Genomic DNA, 18,905 nt, shown 5'->3' on the forward strand with positions numbered 1-18,905 from the left:
TTTGAATTATTTTGTAAGACCTGAACTAATAAAAGCCCTATACAGAGAGACATTCGGTAGCTATTATTATTGGTTATCTTTAATGTGTACAATGCTTTGAGCGTGATGGCTCAAAATTACTATTCTTAGTATTTATAAGTTCTACTGACATTAGATTTTGAATCTGTCATCTCAGTTCATATAGTATATATTATAAATTGAATCAATAAAGCTAAGGCTCATTAGGAGATTATTTGCCATGATTAATGATTGTGGAAGAAAGAAATTCATATTTTTTCCACATATTTCATCTTATTTTAATAGTAATGTCCTTAAACTTTACTATAAAAAAATATAATGTCTCCATGTGGAAGGTAGGTATTGTTGCGTAGTGTTAAAGATCACAGACCTTGGAATCTGCTTGGGTTCTAATCCTTGGTCTGTTTCTCATTGTCTTCTTAGGGAGCTTATTTACCCTTTTAAAGCCTCCTCTGTAAAAGGCATAATGCCTATCATAAGTTTGCTTTGAGTATTACATGAGACAATGTTGGTAAACTTTGCACAGTGCTGACACATAGTAAGTGCTCTGTTAGCTATTATTATGTAATTTTTTTCTTAGCTTACATAGTAAGTTCAAGGTATAGTAAAAAAGGGAAGAAAGAAAAAGATGGCTGATTTTGAAAAGGAGAAAGTGATGAATGAAGATTGCTTTTACATTTTTTGACACTGGTCTCCTAATCTTGTTTCTCTTCATAAATCTTGTGTACCATTGTGATTGCTAAGAAGAACACAATCTATTTAGCAAACGTTTTTGGCATAAAAGGAATGATAATTATTACTTGACTTTTATATCCTTATAGAGACCTAAGCTAAATCTCTGACACTGACAATATTGACTATTAGCCAGCTTGTTAACAGTACTAGAAATGAATTTGGAAGAAGCAATTTGATAAATTACACACCCTTTTGGCTTTTACCCTCCCTTTATATCAGACTTGTGACTGACTCAGAATGATATTTGGGGAGGTGAAAAAAGGTAAACATGTTTGAGAGGAATTAGCCATCAGACTAGAGTGTATTCAAAAAAGAAGATTTAAGAATTTTGTAAAATAGTGGAGAGACTTGCCTCAGAATCATTATATGTGGGAAGCCTTACCCATGAGAACAAACTTGAACAAGTAGCAAGAATCTTGGGTAAGTAACCCTAAAGACAATTGAATTCATGATAGAGAATTGATGATTGATGATAGGCAATGGAAAAGATAAATAGATGAGGTGTACAGTGTGTTGAAAAGAATTTAACAGGTACTTTTTGGTGCCATACAAAGCCATATTCTATAGTATCAAAAGAGGGAGAACAGGCATAATGGGTAGAGAGCCTAATTAGGGAACTGACGAGGTTATTCTATAAAGGAACCTGGGATGTGTGACTTAGAATTACTGTGAATACTAAGGACAGGCTGGGGGCAAAGCAACTTACAACTAGGTTTTTATTTTTAGTGTGTATATAGCCATTTCTACCATGTATGCCTGAGGAAAAAAGTGACCACCGTAAAAATTTTGAGTATCTACTCATTTTTAAGAACACTAGGATAACTGACTATTTATGAATGATTTTTTCTAAAGTGAAGCGTCTTTTTATTAACCACAAAGTAGCCCTTAATCTGACAGTTGTGCGAATTTTTGCATATACGTTTTATTGCTGTATGAGTGGAATATATGTGATTTATTGTTTGAAGGAAAATCACAATTATTTTTTAAAGCAAGTTTTGTTTTTCTGTTTTTAATTTTTTTCTGGTTCCAGATGTATTTGGGTATGCTTATTTCCTGTTTTAGAAACAATATACTTTGTATACTTTTTTAAAAAGTTAATTTTTACTTTTAAACTTTGTCTTCCTCATTTATTATTTATTTCAGATCCATAAATGGACTAGGACAAATCTTAGAAACACAAAGATCAAGGTACTTTAAAAAAGCTATTCCTATTAATAACAAATCATTTTAGTTATTAATAATAAACATTAAATAATTGACAAATATGCTTGATTCTAATATAAGAAAGATCTAAGTGCATTTAAAAAGAATTGGATCCAAAATGTTGTTTGGAATGCTCTTAATAAGTTAGTTTGGCATATTTGGCTAGTACATTTGCCTGTCTTCAAAACTAAGATTACAAAGCCATGATAACACTGTGTAAGTGTTTGCTTACTGAGGAAGAAAAGACTTCCAAACACTCGAGAGGGTAACTCAGTACAGAAATCTGAAGTATATTGAGGAATCTTAATTTGAAGTGTTTAAATGGCTTTTTAATATTTAAAAAGCCTTCTTAGTGTTTTATAGTTGCCAAAAAATACATGGAGTCTTTACCTTGAAGTTCCTGACAAATTCTTTTATTAAATTTTGACTTTCATTTTCTCTAGGTTCTGTTCCTACAACATCTGTGAAGTGTATTTCTGTAGATTAAATTCTGTTTTCCATTGAATGTTATCTTAATTTCAGAAAATTTCTGTGCAGGGTTATTTTATTAAGCTCATTTTTTTTTTTTTTTTTTTTTTTTTTGGTGAGAAAGGCTCAGCAGCTGATAGACTCAGCAACAGGCAGCCAGGAGCTCTGAGGCTCACAGCTGGCAGTCTAGTTCCACTCAGTCTCTACTTGAGAAATTCTTTCTTTGGAAGTACAGCAGAGGCCTTAGGTGAATGGCTTGTCTGCTATGGCAGAGATTAGAGGTGCTGCCAGACTGCCATAAGTATTAGGCAGTAACAGCAGCAGCTGCTTATATGCATGTGAACAGCTGGGGAATTAATTTGGTATGCATTCTCAGGAGCCACTCATCTGCTGGCAGAGGTAGCAGAAGAATGCCCTTAGTGTAAATCCTCTACAACCATACACCAAATGTGCTCCCTGCATTTCAAATTCCATTGTAGAAAGTCTCTGATAATCTCACTTATACCATGAGCCATTCCTCAGTATCTGTCCTCTTCCTGTTAGTGTTCTACAATTCCTTTCTCCTTAATTTTTCTCCGCTTTACAAAATGTCACACAGACAAGTGCATAATACTTAAACAAGCTTTTAAAAATAATGCTCATAAATAGCTTTGGTTCTGTCATAATATTCGTATTTATAAACATTTTAAGTCAATTCTCTTCTTTTGTTTTCATTTCAGAAATATCCATGTCCTGAATAAAAGTTGTGTCTTGATTAGTTTATTATGTAACAATTTAGTGTGTTTGACATTTCTAACTTTTATTTCTAACATTTGCTTTATTATAGAACAATAAACATGCAGTGATTGATTTTTCTTACTTCAAGTGGATGAGTGAGCAAGTGACTAAAATCTTCCGTGAATTCTTCAGTGTATGGTGCTTGCCAGTGCATCTGAGAATCTAGGGACTTTCTGAAATAGTACTTCCTTGCTATGAGGACTGAAGTTGGATTAGAATCCTTTTCAATGAAGATCAGATGTCCTGAGTAGAATTCTTACTATTGGGTCCTGAATCTTACATTAAATATTCTCTCAAATTCCTTGAGGCATAGCAACTTGAGCTTACCAGTTTAGAAACTGGAGATTTGGGCTGGGCGCGGTGGCTCACGCCTGTAATCCCAGCACTTTGGGAGGCCAAGGTGGGCGGATCACGAGATCAGGAGATGGAGACCATCCTGGCTAACACTGTGAAACCCCGTCTCTACTAAAAATACAAAAAATTAGCTGAGCCTGGTGGTGGGCGCCTGTAGTCCCAGCTACTCAGGAGGCTGAGGCAGGAGAATGGCGTGAACCCGGGAGGCGGAGCTTGCAGTGAGCTGAGATCGCACCACTGCACTCCAGCCTGGGTGACAGAGCGAGACTCTGTCTCAAAAAAAAAAAAAAACAAACAAAAAAACCGGAGATTTGGTTAACAAAATAGTCAAAGTCACTCTTACAGAAGTTTTGTTTTATTTTTTGTTTTTTAAAATTTTTTTACCATTTTGTAGCTGACAAGTACTGACAATAAACTGCTATAAGCATGTGTAGAAAAAGGCTCACCTTGAGTAGTTAAGAGTAAGGAAAAGGAATAGTGTGTAGCATCGTCTTAGTGGTAAGACTTAAGTTGATTTAGTAGCAAATGGAAGTACTAGTGAACCACATAGATTTCAGAAGTAGGAGTAAAAGGTTAGAAGATGTGTCATTTTAATCTTCTCTAGACTTTTTCTTAATTTTTAGAAATGTAAGTGGACTGAACAGAGGAAAACCAAAACACAGCTGGTCAATAATAAGTTAAATTAATTTGACAAACTGCCTGCTATGCATTTCATAGCATTTTAAGGACTATATAAGCAATGGATAAGGCAAAAACTCTGCCTTTAAGGAGATCAGTCATTGGGGGGAAACAGAAGCAAACAAACAAAAAGGCAACATAATAGATATTAATATTAATACAAGAATTTTAAAAGCACAGAGTTCTATAATAATAGGAAAATAGAGGGAATGCTTGCTCAACTTTTCTTGAAAAAGAGTCAGGAAAATATTGACCGAGAAGGCAGTCATTGACCTGAGTCTTAAAGAATGAATAAGGTTTTTACAGATGGAGTAGGGTAGGGATAACTTTCCAGGTATAAGGAAGATTTTGTATTCCAGGGACCTTTGAATATTTTAGAATGGCTAGAAAACTTGGTATTATGTAGCACAGAAAAAGTAGTATGACTGAAGAGATAGAGAACTTACCACAAAGGGTCTTGAATGCCATGATACATAGTTTGGATTTTCTTCTGTAGGGAGCAAGGAGTTAGTGAAGGATTTTAAAAGCAACATGACTCTTGGGAGGTAGATTCAATGTGAGGCTAATCTCCGAGGTATAGGAAATACAGGAAGGAGGAGCAACAGGTCGGGTAGTGGTGGAAGCAGGTTTGGAAAATGTGATTAGTTTTGTAAACGTTTTTGAGTTTGAAGTGCCACTGGGGAAGGCTTTTGGAAATTTATTTCCAGAGTTCAAGACTGAGCTATCATTGCAGTTTGCTCAGCTATTTACTGAGCTATCTACTGTCAATTTGGATAGTATCTACAGTTTGCATTGTAGATACTGGATACTTGGATTGGCTGGTGCACCCTGTTTGTGAGACTCACTGGAGTTTGAAGAGATGACCACTGGAAAATATCCCTAAGCAGTAGCTGCAATTCCACCCCCACCTTGGAGAGCCAAAACCCTCTTCGTTTTCACTCTCCTGTCCTTGGTCTTAGGCTACTTAAAGCAGCCTTTAGACATAGGGAAAAATTGAAAGCCTCTCTTTTAAGAAAAGCATTAGGTACTTCTGGAATAGAGAGTTCAAGAAATTAGGAGAAAAATGAACTTTTGAAGCTTTTTCTTTCCCTTTTTTGTTTACTTCATTCTCTTACTCAGTTTTAAAATGCTGGTAATGGTCTTTTTTTTCTTTTTTTTTTTTCTTGGTGATTTTAATGCTTTGGAAAAGATCTCATGGTTTTATCTCCAAAGGAGGAAATTAATTTGATGCCATGGAAATTAGTTTTCTAGTCGTATGCCTTGAATGAGTGAAGAATTTCTTTTTCATGGTGGTACTAAATTTGGGGAAAGCTATAGAAACTTTCATCTGGAAGCTTACACTTTTCCTCTTTTTTGAAAATTTGGTGAGAGACTTGGATATTTTATTATTTTCTGTAAAAGAGTGTAATTTGTTGTACAGGTCTAATATTGATCCTTTTTTGGAAGTATGGAAAGAATCTGAGTATAAAGCAGAATTACCTCTGGATGGCATGTATTCTCAAGGACACTGTCACAGTGAAACAGTTTATTTAGAAGCTTGTGTTTCCAAAGTGTTGAATTTGATATTCACAAAATTGGCATGTGTAAACTTTATTAAACTTTAAGCTATTTCCTAAGATGAAGATGACAAACTTGGAGGGAAACTTCATTCATTTGGTTTATTTTTATTTTTATTTTTATTTATTTTTATCTTTTTGAGACAGAATCTCACTCTGTCCCCCAAGTTGGAGTGCGGTGGTGCGATCTCGGCTCACTGAAACCTCTGCCTCCTGGGTTCAAGCGATTCTCCTGCTTCACCCTCCGGGTAGCTGGGATTACAGGTGTGCACCACCACACCCAGCTAATTTTTGTATTTTTAGTAGAGACGGTTTCGCCACATTGGCCAGGTTGGTGTCAAACTCCTGGCCTCAAAGTGATCCGCCCACCTTGGCCTCCCAAAGTGGAGCCCCCGTGCCCCTTGTTTGTGACCTGTCAATATAAATATGCTCAGTAATGGGGGGAGGGGTGGGGGGTGAAAAAGGAAATATGTTTAATATTAAGACTTTGGCCTTTTAGTGTAAACTGATATTCAAAAATTTCTTCATAGAACATTTGCTTCTTTGCTTGATCATTTTTCTAATTCTGTACATCTAAAATGCCCAGAATTTGAGTTGCTGTTATAGTCTACTAACATAGAACTTTGGAGTAATAAGATGGGAATTTGTCTCTCTTTTGCCAAGACAAGCATTCGTAATCTAACACAGTATTGTTGCCACGAGTACGAGTATGTGATAGACTGTTGAGAATAAAGAAAGCAGGCACAGTTGGTCAGTCCTAAGATAAAGGAGATGTTTTTCTTATATGTTTGTGCATTAAAGAAAAAAAAATCTTGAATCTGACCAATGATGTTTTTTTTCCTTGTAAGAAAATTTAACAAATGTTTGGCAAGCTTCTGGAATCTAAATTTGAAATTATACATTTGTCATTTTCTTTAAATATTTCTTCACCTCAGCTTTGATTATGAGAAATCACTGTCCTCTGCTGTTCTTTTTTTTTTTTTTTCTTTTGAGGCGGAGTCTCACTCTGTGCCAGGCTGGAGTGCAGTGGTGCAATCTTGGCTCACTGCAACCTCCATTTCCTGGGTTCAAATGATTCTCCTGCCGCAGCCTCCCGAGTAGCTGGGACTACAGGTGCGTGCCACCACACCCAGCTAATTTTTGTATTTTTGGTAGAGACAGGGTTTCACCACGTTGTCCATGGCCAGGATGGTCTTGATCTTGACCTTGTGATCCGCCCGCCTCGGCCTCCCAAAGTGCTGGGATTGCAGGCGTGAGCCACCGTGCCCGGCCTGTCCTCTGTGGTTTTCTGGGCTTATGTTAAAATTATAACTCAATCACCAGTCTTTATAAATTTGCTTTTTTATATTTAAACCAAACCTAATGCTAATTGTGATATGTTATTTATTCTCACCTGATTTGAATCATTGGATTCAATTAAATGAGTTTAATTATCATTAAATAATTCTAAGAGAAATAATGTCTATTCGGATGGTGGGAATTTTCTTTCTACATGCAGCCCCATTCTGAATGAATGAAATCAAATCACGTGAAGATCAGGGTCCTAGAGTAACTTAATATTTTGTACATTGGTTATTTGACTCCTCATTTTTATATTACATGTTATATCAAGGGAGGGGGCATAAAAGAAATACAAAAATTGCAGAGGTATCTGGAATGTACCTATTTGTTAATTCTATTTGTCATTTCTTTTGTTTCATCTTTTGAGTAATAAGCTGCTTGGAAAAGTTTCTGTTCTTTAGCTGATTTTTTAGCTATAAAAATGTATTTGAAAAGCTCATAAATTTCAGGATTGAAAAGATAATTGAAAGTTTTAAAAAAACCTAATTCATTGAAGTAATAACCAAATAATTTTCAATCTTGATTCAACTGTGATTCAAATCTTACACCATTTGCCCACTTCTATGAATTTTATGTATAAAATTTTTTAAGAGTCAGAGTTTTTTTTCTTGATTAATTGGATGTATTTCACAGAATTTCCAACTGCTCACGTTAGTTTTCTTCCTTTTAGAGTTGATCTCTCTAATGTATTAGATCTTCATGCCTTTGATAGTCTCTCTGGAATAAGGTATGTTTTGTATAATTTGGTTACTTTTATTGTTATGTACCTTTTTTCCCCATAGTTAACAGGAATGATTTGCACAATTGCATCCATGATTTAAGCTTCCTGCCATTCCTTTGGCATACAAGACCATACTTAATGAGGTATATTCTTGGAAGTTTTACTAACTGGTTGTTTGGAAATCATATTGCATTTTCCTGTAGAAATTATAGTGTAAATGATAGTTAACTTTAGAGGCTAATCGTTAACACTTCTACACCAAACACTATATCTAGTACTCTTTCTATGAGAAAATGCATGAAATACATAGAAAATTTTAGCTTAGCGTTTTCACACAAATAACTCTCTTCACTTTATTTTTTTATTTTTTATTTTTTCTTGAGTTTTTTTTTAATTTATTTATTTATTATTATTATACCTTAAGTTTTAGGGTACATGTGCACAATGTGCAGGTTAGTTACATATGTATACATGTGCCATGCTGGTGCGCTGCACCCACTGACTCGTCATCTAGCATTAGTTATATCTCCCAATGCTATCCCTCCCCCCTCCCCCCAACCCACAACAGTCCCCAGAATGTGATGTTCCCCTTCCTGTGTCCATGTGTTCTCATTGTTCAATTCCCACCTATGAGTGAGAATATGCGGTGTTTGGTTTTTTGTTCTTGCGATAGTTTATGGAGAATGATGATTTCCAATTTCATCCATGTCCCTACAAAGGACATGAACCCATCCTTTTTTATGGCTGCATAGTATTCCATGGTGTATATGTGCCACATTTTCTTAATCCAGTCTATCATTGTTGGACATTTGGGTTGGTTCCAAGTCTTTGCTATTGTGAATAATGCCGCAATAAACATATGTGTGCATATGTCTTTATAGCAGCATGATTTATAGTCCTTTAGGGTATATACCCAGTAATGGGATGGCTGGGTCAAATGGTATTTCTAGTTGTAGATCCCTGAGGAATCGCCACACTGACTTCCACAATGGTTGAACTAGTTTACAGTTCCGCCAACAGTGTAAAAGTGTTCCTATTTCTCCACATCCTCTCCAGCACCTGTTGTTTCCTGACTTCTTAATGATTGCCATTCTAACTGGTGTGAGATAGTATCTCATTGTGGTTTTGATTTGCATTTCTCTGATGGCCAGTGATGGTGAGCATTTTTTCATGTGTTCTTTGGCTGCATAAATGTCTTCTTTTGAGAAGTGTCTGTTCATGTCCTTCACCCACTTTTTGATGGGGTTGTTTGTTTTTTTTCTTGTAAATTTGTTTGAGTTCATTGTAGATTCTGGATATTAGCCCTTTGTCAGATGAGTAGGTTGCGAAAATTTTCTCCCATTTTGTAGGTTGCCTGTTCACTCTGATGGTAGTTTCTTTTGCTGTGCAGAAGCTGTTTAGTTTAATTAGATCCCATCTGTCAATTTTGGCTTTTGTTGCCATTGCTTTTGGTGTTTTAGACATGAAGTCCTTGCCCATGCCTATGTCCTGAATGGTAATGCCTAGGTCTTCTTCTAGGGTTTTTATGGTTTTAGGTTGAACGTTTAAGTCTTTAATCCATGTTGAATTGATTTTTGTATAAGGTGTAAGGAAGGGATCCGGTTTCAGCTTTCTACATATGGCTAGCCAGTTTTCCCAGCACCATTTATTAAATAGGGAATCCTTTCCCCACTGCTTGTTTTTCTCAGGTTTGTCAAAGATCAGATAGTTGTAGATATGCGGCGTTATTTCTGAGGGCTCTGTTCTGTTCCATGAATCTATATCTCTGTTTTGGTACCAGTACCATGCTGTTTTGGTTACTGTAGCCTTGTAGTATAGTTTGAAGTCAGGTAGTGTGATGCCTCCAGCTTTGTTCTTTTGGCTTAGGATTGACTTGGCGATGCGGGCTCTTTTTTGGTTCCATATGAACTTTAAAGTAGTTTTTTCCAATTCTGTGAAGAAAGTCACTGGTAGCTTGATGGGGATGGCATTGAATCTGTAAATTACCTTGGGCAGTATGGCCATTTTCACGATATTGATTCTTCCTACCCATGAGCATGGAATGTTCTTCCATTTGTTTGTATCCTCTTTTATTTCCTTGAGCAGTGGTTTGTAGTTCTCCTTGAAGAGGTCCTTCACATCCCTTGTAAGTCAGATTCCTAGGTATTTTATTCTCTTTGAAGCAATTGTGAATGGGAGTTCACTCATGATTTGGCTCTCTGTTTGTCTGTTGTTGGTGTATAAGAATGCTTGTGATTTTTGTACATTGATTTTGTATCCTGAGACTTTGCTGAAGTTGCTTATCAGCTTAAGGAGATTTTGGGCTGAGATGATGGGGTTTTCTAGATATATAATCATGTCATCTGCAAACAGGGACAATTTGACTTCCTCTTTTCCTAATTGAATACCCTTTATTTCCTTCTCCTGCCTAATTGCCCTGGCCAGAACTTCCAACACTATGTTGAATAGGAGTGGTGAGAGAGGGCATCCCTGTCTTGTGCCCATTTTCAAAGGGAATGCTTCCAGTTTTTGCCCATTCAGTATGATATTGGCTGTGGGTTTGTCATAGATAGCTCTTATTATTTTGAAATACGTCCCATCAATACCTAATTTATTGAGAGTTTTTAGCATGATGGGTTGTTGAATTTTGTCAAAGGCCTTTTCTGCATCTATTGAGATAATCATGTGGTTTTTGTCTTTGGTTCTGTTTATATGCTGGATTACATGTATTGATTTGCATATATTGAACCAGCCTTGCGTCCCAGGGATGAAGCCCACTTGATCATGGTGGATAAGCTTTTTGATGTGCTGCTGGATTCGGTTTGCCAGTATTTTACTGAGGATTTTTGCATCAATGTTCATCAAGGATATTGGTCTAAAATTCTCTTTTTTGGTTGTGTCTCTGCCCGGCTTTGGTATCAGGATGATGCTGGCCTCATAAAATGAGTTAGGGAGGATTCCCTCTTTTTCTATTGATTGGAATAGTTTCAGAAGGAATCGTACCAGTTCCTCCTTGTACCTCTGGTAGAATTCGGCTGTGAATCTATCTGGTCCTGGACTCTTTTTGGTTGGTAAGCTATTGATTATTGCCACAATTTCAGATCCTGTTATTGGTCTATTCAGAGATTCAACTTCTTCCTTGTTTAGTCTTTGGAGGGTGTATGTGTCAAGGAATTTATCCATTTCTTCTAGATTTTCTAGTTTATTTGCGTAGAGGTGTTTGTAGTATTCTCTGATGGTAGTTTGTATTTCTGTGGGATCGGTGGTGATATCCCCTTTATCATTTTTTATTGCGTCTATTTGATTCTTCTCTCTTTTTTTCTTTATTAGTCTTGCTAGCGGTCTATCAATTTTGTTGATCCTTTCAAAAAACCAGCTCCTGGATTCATTAATTTTTTTGAAGGGTTTTTTGTGTCTCTATTTCCTTCAGTTCTGCTCTGATTTTAGTTATTTCTTGCCTTCTGCTAGCTTTTGAATGTGTTTGCTCTTGCTTTTCTAGTTCTTTTAATTGTGATGTTAGGTTGTCAATTTTGGATCTTTCCTGCTTTCTGTTGTGGGCATTTAGTGCTATAAATTTCCCTCTATACACTGCTTTGAATGCGTCCCAGAGATTCTGGTATGTTGTGTCTTTGTTCTCGTTGGTTTCAAAGAACATCTTTATTTCTGCCTTCATTTTGTTATGTACCCAGTAGTCATTCAGGAGCAGGTTGTTCGGTTTCCATGTAGTTGAGTGGTTTTGAGTGAGATTCTTAATCCTGAGTTCTAGTTTGATTGTACTGTGGTCTGAGAGATAGTTTGTTATAATTTCTGTTCTTTTACATTTGCTGAGGAGAGCTTTACTTCCAAGTATGTGGTCAATTTTGGAATAGGTGTGGTGTGGTGCTGAAAAGAATGTATATTCTGTTGATTTGGGGTGGAGAGTTCTGTAGATGTCTATTAGGTCTGCTTGGTGCAGAGCTGAGTTCAATTCCTGGGTATCCTTGTTGACTTTCTGTCTCATTGATCTGTCTAATGTTGACAGTGGGGTGTTAAAGTCTCCCATTATTATTGTGTGGGAGTCTAAGTCTCTTTGTAGGTCACTCAGGACTTGCTTTATGAATCTGGGTGCTCCTGTATTGGGTGCATATATATTTAGGATAGTTAGCTCTTCTTGTTGAATTGATCCCTTTACCATTATGTAATGGCCTTCTTTGTCTCTTTTGATCTTTGTTGGTTGAAAGTCTGTTTTATCAGAGACTAGGATTGCAACCCCTGCCTTGTTTTGTTTTCCATTTGCTTAGTAGATTTTCCTCCATCCCTTTATTTTGAGCCTATGTGTGTCTCTGCACGTGAGATGGGTTTCCTGAATACAGCACACTGATGGGTCTTGACTCTTTATCCAATTTGCCAGTCTGTGTCTTTTAATTGGAGCATTTAGTCCATTTACATTTAAAGTTAATATCGTTACGTGTGAATTTGATCCTGTCATTATGATGTTAGCTGGTTATTTTGCTCGTTAGTTGATGCAGTTTCTTCCTAGCTTGGATGGTCTTTACATTTTGGCATGATTCTGCAGTGGCTGGTACCGGTTGTTCCTTTCCACGTTTAGTGCTTCCTTCAGGAGCTCTTTTAGGGCAGGCCTGGTGGTGACAAAATCTCTCAGCATTTGCTTGTCTGTAAAGTATTTTATTTCTCCTTCACTTATGAAGCTTAGTTTGGCTGGATATGAAATTCTGGGTCGAAAATTCTTTTCTTTAAGAATGTTGAATATTGGCCCCCACTCTCTTCTGGCTTGTAGAGTTTCTGCCAAGAGATCCGCTGTTAGTCTGATGGGCTTCCCTTTGAGGGTAACCCGACCTTTCTCTCTGGCTGCCCTTAACATTTTTTCCTTCATTTCAACTTTGGTGAATCTGACAATTATGTGTCTTGGAATTGCTCTTCTCGAGGAGAATCTTTGTGGCATTCTCTGTATTTCCTGAATCTGAACGTTGGCCTGCCTTGCTAGATTGGGGAAGTTCTCCTGGATAATATCCTGCAGAGTGTTTTCCAACTTGGTTCCATTCTCCCCGTCACTTTCAGGTACACCAATCAGACATAGATTTGGTCTTTTCACATAGTCCCATATTTCTTGGAGGCTTTGTTTGTTTCTTTTTATTCTTTTTTCTCTAAACTTCCCTTCTTGCTTCATTTCATTCATTTCATATTTCATCGCTGATACCCTTTCTTCCAGTTGATCGCATCGGCTCCTGAGGCTTCTGCATTCTTCACGTAGTTCTTGAGCCTTGGTTTTCAGCTCCATCAGCTCCTTTAAGCACTTCTCTGTATTGGTTATTCTAGTTATACATTCTTCTAAATTTTTTTCAAAGTTTTCAACTTCTTTGCCTTTGGTTTGAATGTCCTCCCATAGCTCGGAGTAGTTTGATCGTCTGAAGCCTTCTTCTCTCAGCTCGTCAAAGTCATTCTCCCTCCAGCTTTGTTCCGTTGCTGGTGAGGAGCTGCGTTCCTTCGGAGGAGGAGAGGCGCTGCGTTCCTTTGGAGGAGGAGAGGCGCTCTGCTTTTTAGAGTTTCCAGTTTTTCTGCTCTGTTTTTTCCCCATCTTTGTGGTTTTTATCTACTTTTGGTCTTTGATGATGGTGATGTACAGATCGGTTTTTGGTGTGGATGTCCTTTCTGTTTGTTAGTTTTCCTTCTAACAGACAGGACCTTCAGCTGCAGGTCTGTTGGAGTACCCGGCCGTGTGAGGTGTCAGTCTGCCTCTGCTAGGGAGTGCCTCCCAGTTAGGCTGCTCGGGGGTCAGGGGTCAGGGTCCCACTTGAGGAGGCAGTCTGCCAGTTCTCAGATCTCCAGCTGCGTGCTGGGGGAACCACTGCTCTTTTCAAAGCTGTCAGACAGGGACACTTAAGTCTGCAGAGGTTACTGCTGTCTTTTTGTGTGTCTGTGCCCTGCCCCCAGAGGTGGAGCCTACAGAGGCAGGCAGGCTTCCTTGAGCTGTGGTGGGCTCCACCCAGTTGGAGCTTCCTGGCTGCTTTGTTTACCTAAGCAAGCCTGGGCAATGGCGGGCGCCCCTCCCCCAGCCTCGCTGCCGCCTTGTAGTTTGATCTCAGACTGCTGTGCTAGCAATCAGCGAGACTCCGTGGGCGTGGGACCCTCCGAGCCAGGTGCGGGATATAATCTCGTGGTGCGCCTTTTTTTAAGCCCGTCGGAAAAGCGCAGTATTCGGGTGGGAGTGACCCGATCTTCCAGGTGCCGTCTGTCACCCCTTTCTTTGACTAGGAAAGGGAACTCCCTGACCCCCTGCGCTTCCCAAGTGAGGCAATGCCTCGCCCTGCTTCGGCTCGCGGATGGTGCACGCACCCACTGACCTGCGCCCACTGTCTGGCACTCCCTAGTGAGATGAACCCGGTACCTCAGATGGAAATGGAGAAATCGCCTGTCTTCTGCGTCTCTCACGCTGGGAGCTGTAGACCGGAGCTGTTCCTATTTGGCCATCTTGGCTCCTCTCTCCTCTCTTCACTTTAATAATGGATTAGTTTTCTGCCTTCTCCTGTGGGGAATCTTTTTGGTAAGGGAGGGAAGAAAGATTAGTTATTCTTGTGCATCAGTATCTTTTTCTTTTTTTATTGTAGTAAGAACATCTAACATGAGATCTACCCTCTTAACAATTTTTTAAGTGTACAATACAGTATTGCTAACTATAGGCATGAGGATGTGCAGCAGATCTCTGGAACGTTTCACTCTTTATAACTGAAGCTTTATACCCCTTGAATAGCAGCTTCCCATTTCCCTGTCTTCATAGCCCCTGGCATCCACCATTCTACACTCTTTCTGTGGGGTTGACTATTTTAATTACCTGACGCAAGTGGAATCATGCATTATTTGTCTTTCTGTGACTGGTTTATTTCACGTAGCATAAAGTCACCAAGGTTCATCCATGTTTTTGCATATGGCAAGTTTTCCTTTTTAAGTCTGAATAATATTCCATTTTCTACATATACCACATTTACTTTATCCCTTTTTCTGTTAGTGGACATTTAACTTGTTCTCACAGCTTGGCTATTGCAAATAATGCTGCAATGAATATCTCATAAGTCTCGTATATGTCCATAGAAGATCATGAAAATGGACATGTCTCTGGGTATTTTGAATTGGTGGGACAATTTTGCTTAAGGGTAGGCATAGTGGGTGGCTCTACATTTGAGAGTTCTAATTCCCATTCCTATATATATTTCTTTTCTTTTTATTTATTTATTTTTTTGAGATGGGGCTCTCTGTCACTCAGGCTGGAGTGCAGTGGCACAAACATGGCTTACTGCAGCCTCAACCTCCTGGGCTCAAGTGATCCTCCCATCTCAGCCTCCCAAGAAGCTGGGACCACAGGCATGTGTCACCATGCCTGACTAATTTTTTTTTTTAATTTTCTGTAAGCATGGGGTCTTGCTATGTTGCCTAGGCTGGTCTCAAACTCCTGGGCTCAAGTGATCCTCATGCCTCAGCCTCCCAAAGTGCTGGGATTACATGTGTAGGCCACCACACCCAGCCTTATATATATATTTCTAATTTTGCCTTAGCCATGCCCTTAAAAACTAATTCTACTTTCAACTAGTTTTTTTTTTTCCACCTTCAGTCTGTAGTATTGTTCACATTTTGAAAACAATACCTACAGTAACCTGTGAGGTAGGACATGATAGTGTTTTATTGGACCCCTTTTACTTTATGAATTGGAAAAATTAAATTTGCATGTAGTTTGTAAAAAAAAAATAAAGAAAGAAAGAAAAAAGAAATTGATTGAGATTATTTCAGCAGCCAGAAGTGTGGGACAGGCAGGGCAGTTATTCCTCCTTCTCAGTTTGGAAACTGAAGCTCAGAGAGTAAACTTGTCAGTGATACAGTTATTCAAGAAGTTGTCTTCAGTTGAGAGATACGTTTTTCACCTGTAGCTTCTGGTATTGGAACAGTACCTTTTTAGACTAAACAAATTACGGTTAAAATTATAAGGGTATTTTCGGAGTACCTGGAAAAAATCAGCATTTTGCTTTTCTAGTTCCATTTAGTAGGAAGACAGGAAAGTTTGGTATACCTGAATTACATGTGAGTTATTTCTATTTTTCTAAAAATTCTTATAAATTGTGTAAGGTAAAAATGACTACTTCTTGTTTTATGGTAAATATAGTTATATCCTTTCAAGCCACTGCTGTACAAAGTTGTGAAATCTCCCTGAGGCTTTTTCCCTCATGTCAGCTTCAGGTATCCAGTATCACTTATGCTTGATAATGATTGTATGAAAATCATTCAGAATTATACTATGTTTTTTCATATAAAGCTTTTGTTTTACTAATTTTGAAATGACTGTTCCTCCATTAAGCGAATACAGCCCTAAGCATAAATTTGGTTTGTTCATTTAAAAATGGTCTTTTTTTCCCATCTTAGTTCTGGCTTTACTAGGGAGATAGATTGGCTGAGGTTGTCACCTAATTCTGGGAGGTTAAGACCCTTTGTCTTTTGCTACCCATTTCTGAAATAACCAGAAGTCTAGCCCATCCTAACTTTTCTCTCGATGATCCTTTTCTTCTTTTTACTTCAAGGTTCCAGCCCTTCATTTGACTATCAGTGCTGTTTCACTAGTTAGCCATGATCCCTTTCATCCACCGTGTCTGGATTAGAACTGTATTTTTAATTTGATGCTGTGGGCAGTTTTGATAGTTACAGATCCTGTGATACATTTAAATGTGTTTACAAGGGGAACAAATGAAACAATGCTGCATGAAATTTGCCTTTCTTTTTTTTTTTTTTTCCCCTTGGAGACAGGGTCTGGGTCTATTGCCCAGGCTAGAGTGCAGTGGTGCGATGTCAGCTCCCTATAGCCTCTGTGTCCTGGGCTTAAGCCGTCTTCCCACCTCAGACTCATGAGTAGCTGGGACTATAGGCACACACTACCATGCCTGGCTAATTTTTTATTTTGGTAGAAGATGAGGTTTTGCCATGTTGCCGAAGCTGATCTTAAACTCCTGGGCTTAAGTGATCTGCCCACCTCAGCCTCCCAAAGTAATGGGATTATAGGCGTGAGCCACCACACTTGGCCTTTTCTTTTTTTTATATTTATTTAATTATTTTATTTTATTGAGACAGAGTCTCACTCTGACACCTGGGCTGGAATGCAGTGGCTATCATGGCTCTCTGCAGTCGTGAACTCCTGGACTCAAGTGATCCTCCCATCTCAGCCTCCTGAGTAGCTGGGACTACAGGCTTGCACCCATGCCTGGCTAATTTTTTTATTGTTACTTTTTTGTAGTGACAGGCTCTCGCTACGTTGCTCAGGCTCGTCTTGAACTCCTGGCCTCAAGTGATTCTCCTACTTGGCCTCTCAAAGTGCTGGGATTATAAGCCTGAGCCACTGAACCCAGCAAAATTTGCCTTTCTTAAACTAATTTATCTCTGTTGGGTCCAAGAGCTTACAAGTTGGTTGTCATTTAATATGTTAAACACTAGAATATTTTTTAGTTGAAATTTTATTTTTTCCCTTTACATGTTGTATCCTTTAGTGCTTTATTTCACTAATAAGAATTATAGTATGCAATCATTTCCCACCTCTATATTCAGTATATCAATTTTTGTTTTTCCTTTCTACTTCTGTCTTTTGCTATAATTTGCTGTAATACAGGTACTTTCATCAAGGCATCCAGTTCTTTATATCATTCTATATTTTTACTTGGGAGAAATAGAAATGTTGCTAATTCCATCTTACTGACAATACCTAAATTATTGTTTGTTATAGAACATAATGATTTAAATATACAAAACACTAAACTGTTTGAGATTTTTTACATTTTATGCGTGCAGAATTTACATTTTATGTGTGCAGAGACAAAAATTGTTATAAGATTACAAGTTAATGTGCAAGATGATTTCCGATTCATGAGTTTCAGGTTTTGATAGCATATCCTTATCCACTAGATTAGTCTTTTAAAAATGTGTATGATAGGGAAAAAATCGAGGCCATGAAATTCTGAGACTTATGGGAACTAAACTTAAATGTTCGTTGTTAGATTTTTTTTTTTTTTTTTTTTGCTGCGTATGAAGTTCTAGGCAGTCATTGTCCAACAACATTAAATACTGAACATATGGGAAAAGCATATGATTTTTCGAAATGTTTTTCTAAAGTAATCTCATTCTACATACACTTAAGAGCAGTTATAATGCTTTAGTGACACTTGAAGTAGCTATTTAATGTGATCTCACCACTATAGGGAAGGCCGTTGCATGACTTTTTTGTGTGTGCTTAACTGCTAAACAGGAGAATCTTTTCCTGAGCAACCAGCTGGGAAGGATTTAATTTGACATTCTCCCTACTAGGACCCCCCAAAGAGACTCATTCCCTCCAATAGTTCCTACAAGTTCTTTCTCTTTCCTAAACTTGCTGTTACTAATTTACCCCTCACTCTTCTTCAAGGCAAAGCATCTGCAAGGTTTTCAGTCCTTTCCCCCTCCCGTCCTGTCCCCATCAGTGTTGAAATGTATGCTACAGTTATTATGGTTGTAATTTGTTATGCCATGTTGATCTTCTTGTGCTTTTCATATCAGAACAATGCATTTTTAACATTCTGACTTTCTTTTTCTCTCAATTGGTAACTGACTATATAGAAAATTTATATTTATGGATACTATTTCTTTTTTAATAAGTTCAAGGGAAAACATTGATAAAGGAAAATTTATCCTTTCAACTTTCTTTAGGTGCCAGCATTATTTTCATATTAGGAAGCAGGAGAAAGTTAAGGAACTCTGAGCAATACTAGAATGGTTATATATATTTAAGTTTGTATTAAACCTGTTGGAATGGTAAAGAAATTTACTGACATATTTAACCATACAAAATAGTGTTGCTAAAAGACTAGTTTTTCTCTTTATTCTGTGCATATGTATATATATGAATGTGTGGGTTTTTTTTAAGAAATTTTAAAAAAACTTAATCTGCCAGCTTTTCTCTATTGGAATTTGCGAACAACTTGTAAAATTGGAATTACAGAATATTAGAATAGTCAGTTATGGAAAGTCACTTCATTATCCTTGTGTCACTAAATAACGTATAAAGTTAAATCAGA

General features: G+C 37.7%; 1 protein-coding gene across 14 annotated transcripts in view; it reads left to right on the forward strand.

Moving 5' to 3' along the window:
- The window catches only part of ZNG1B (Zn regulated GTPase metalloprotein activator 1B), a 58,514-nt gene that overhangs the window by 25,542 nt on the left and 14,067 nt on the right, over positions 1 to 18,905 (forward strand). For 6 of the 14 annotated variants that reach the window (NM_001330340.1, NM_001330339.1, NM_001330342.1 and 3 more), the window contains 2 exons: positions 1,897 to 1,941; positions 7,801 to 7,857. In NM_001330340.1, the coding sequence (NP_001317269.1) occupies positions 1,897 to 1,941; positions 7,801 to 7,857 (102 nt within the window). Of the gene's footprint in view, positions 1 to 1,896; positions 1,942 to 2,548; positions 2,672 to 3,250; positions 3,335 to 7,800; positions 7,858 to 18,905 lie in introns of those variants that run through there. The other 8 variants (NR_138474.1, NR_138473.1, XR_007069657.1 and 5 more) reach the window with 3 other exon arrangements.

Source organism: Homo sapiens, chromosome 2 (assembly GCF_000001405.40).
Source record: "Homo sapiens chromosome 2, GRCh38.p14 Primary Assembly".
Taxonomy (NCBI): Eukaryota; Metazoa; Chordata; class Mammalia; order Primates; family Hominidae; genus Homo; species Homo sapiens.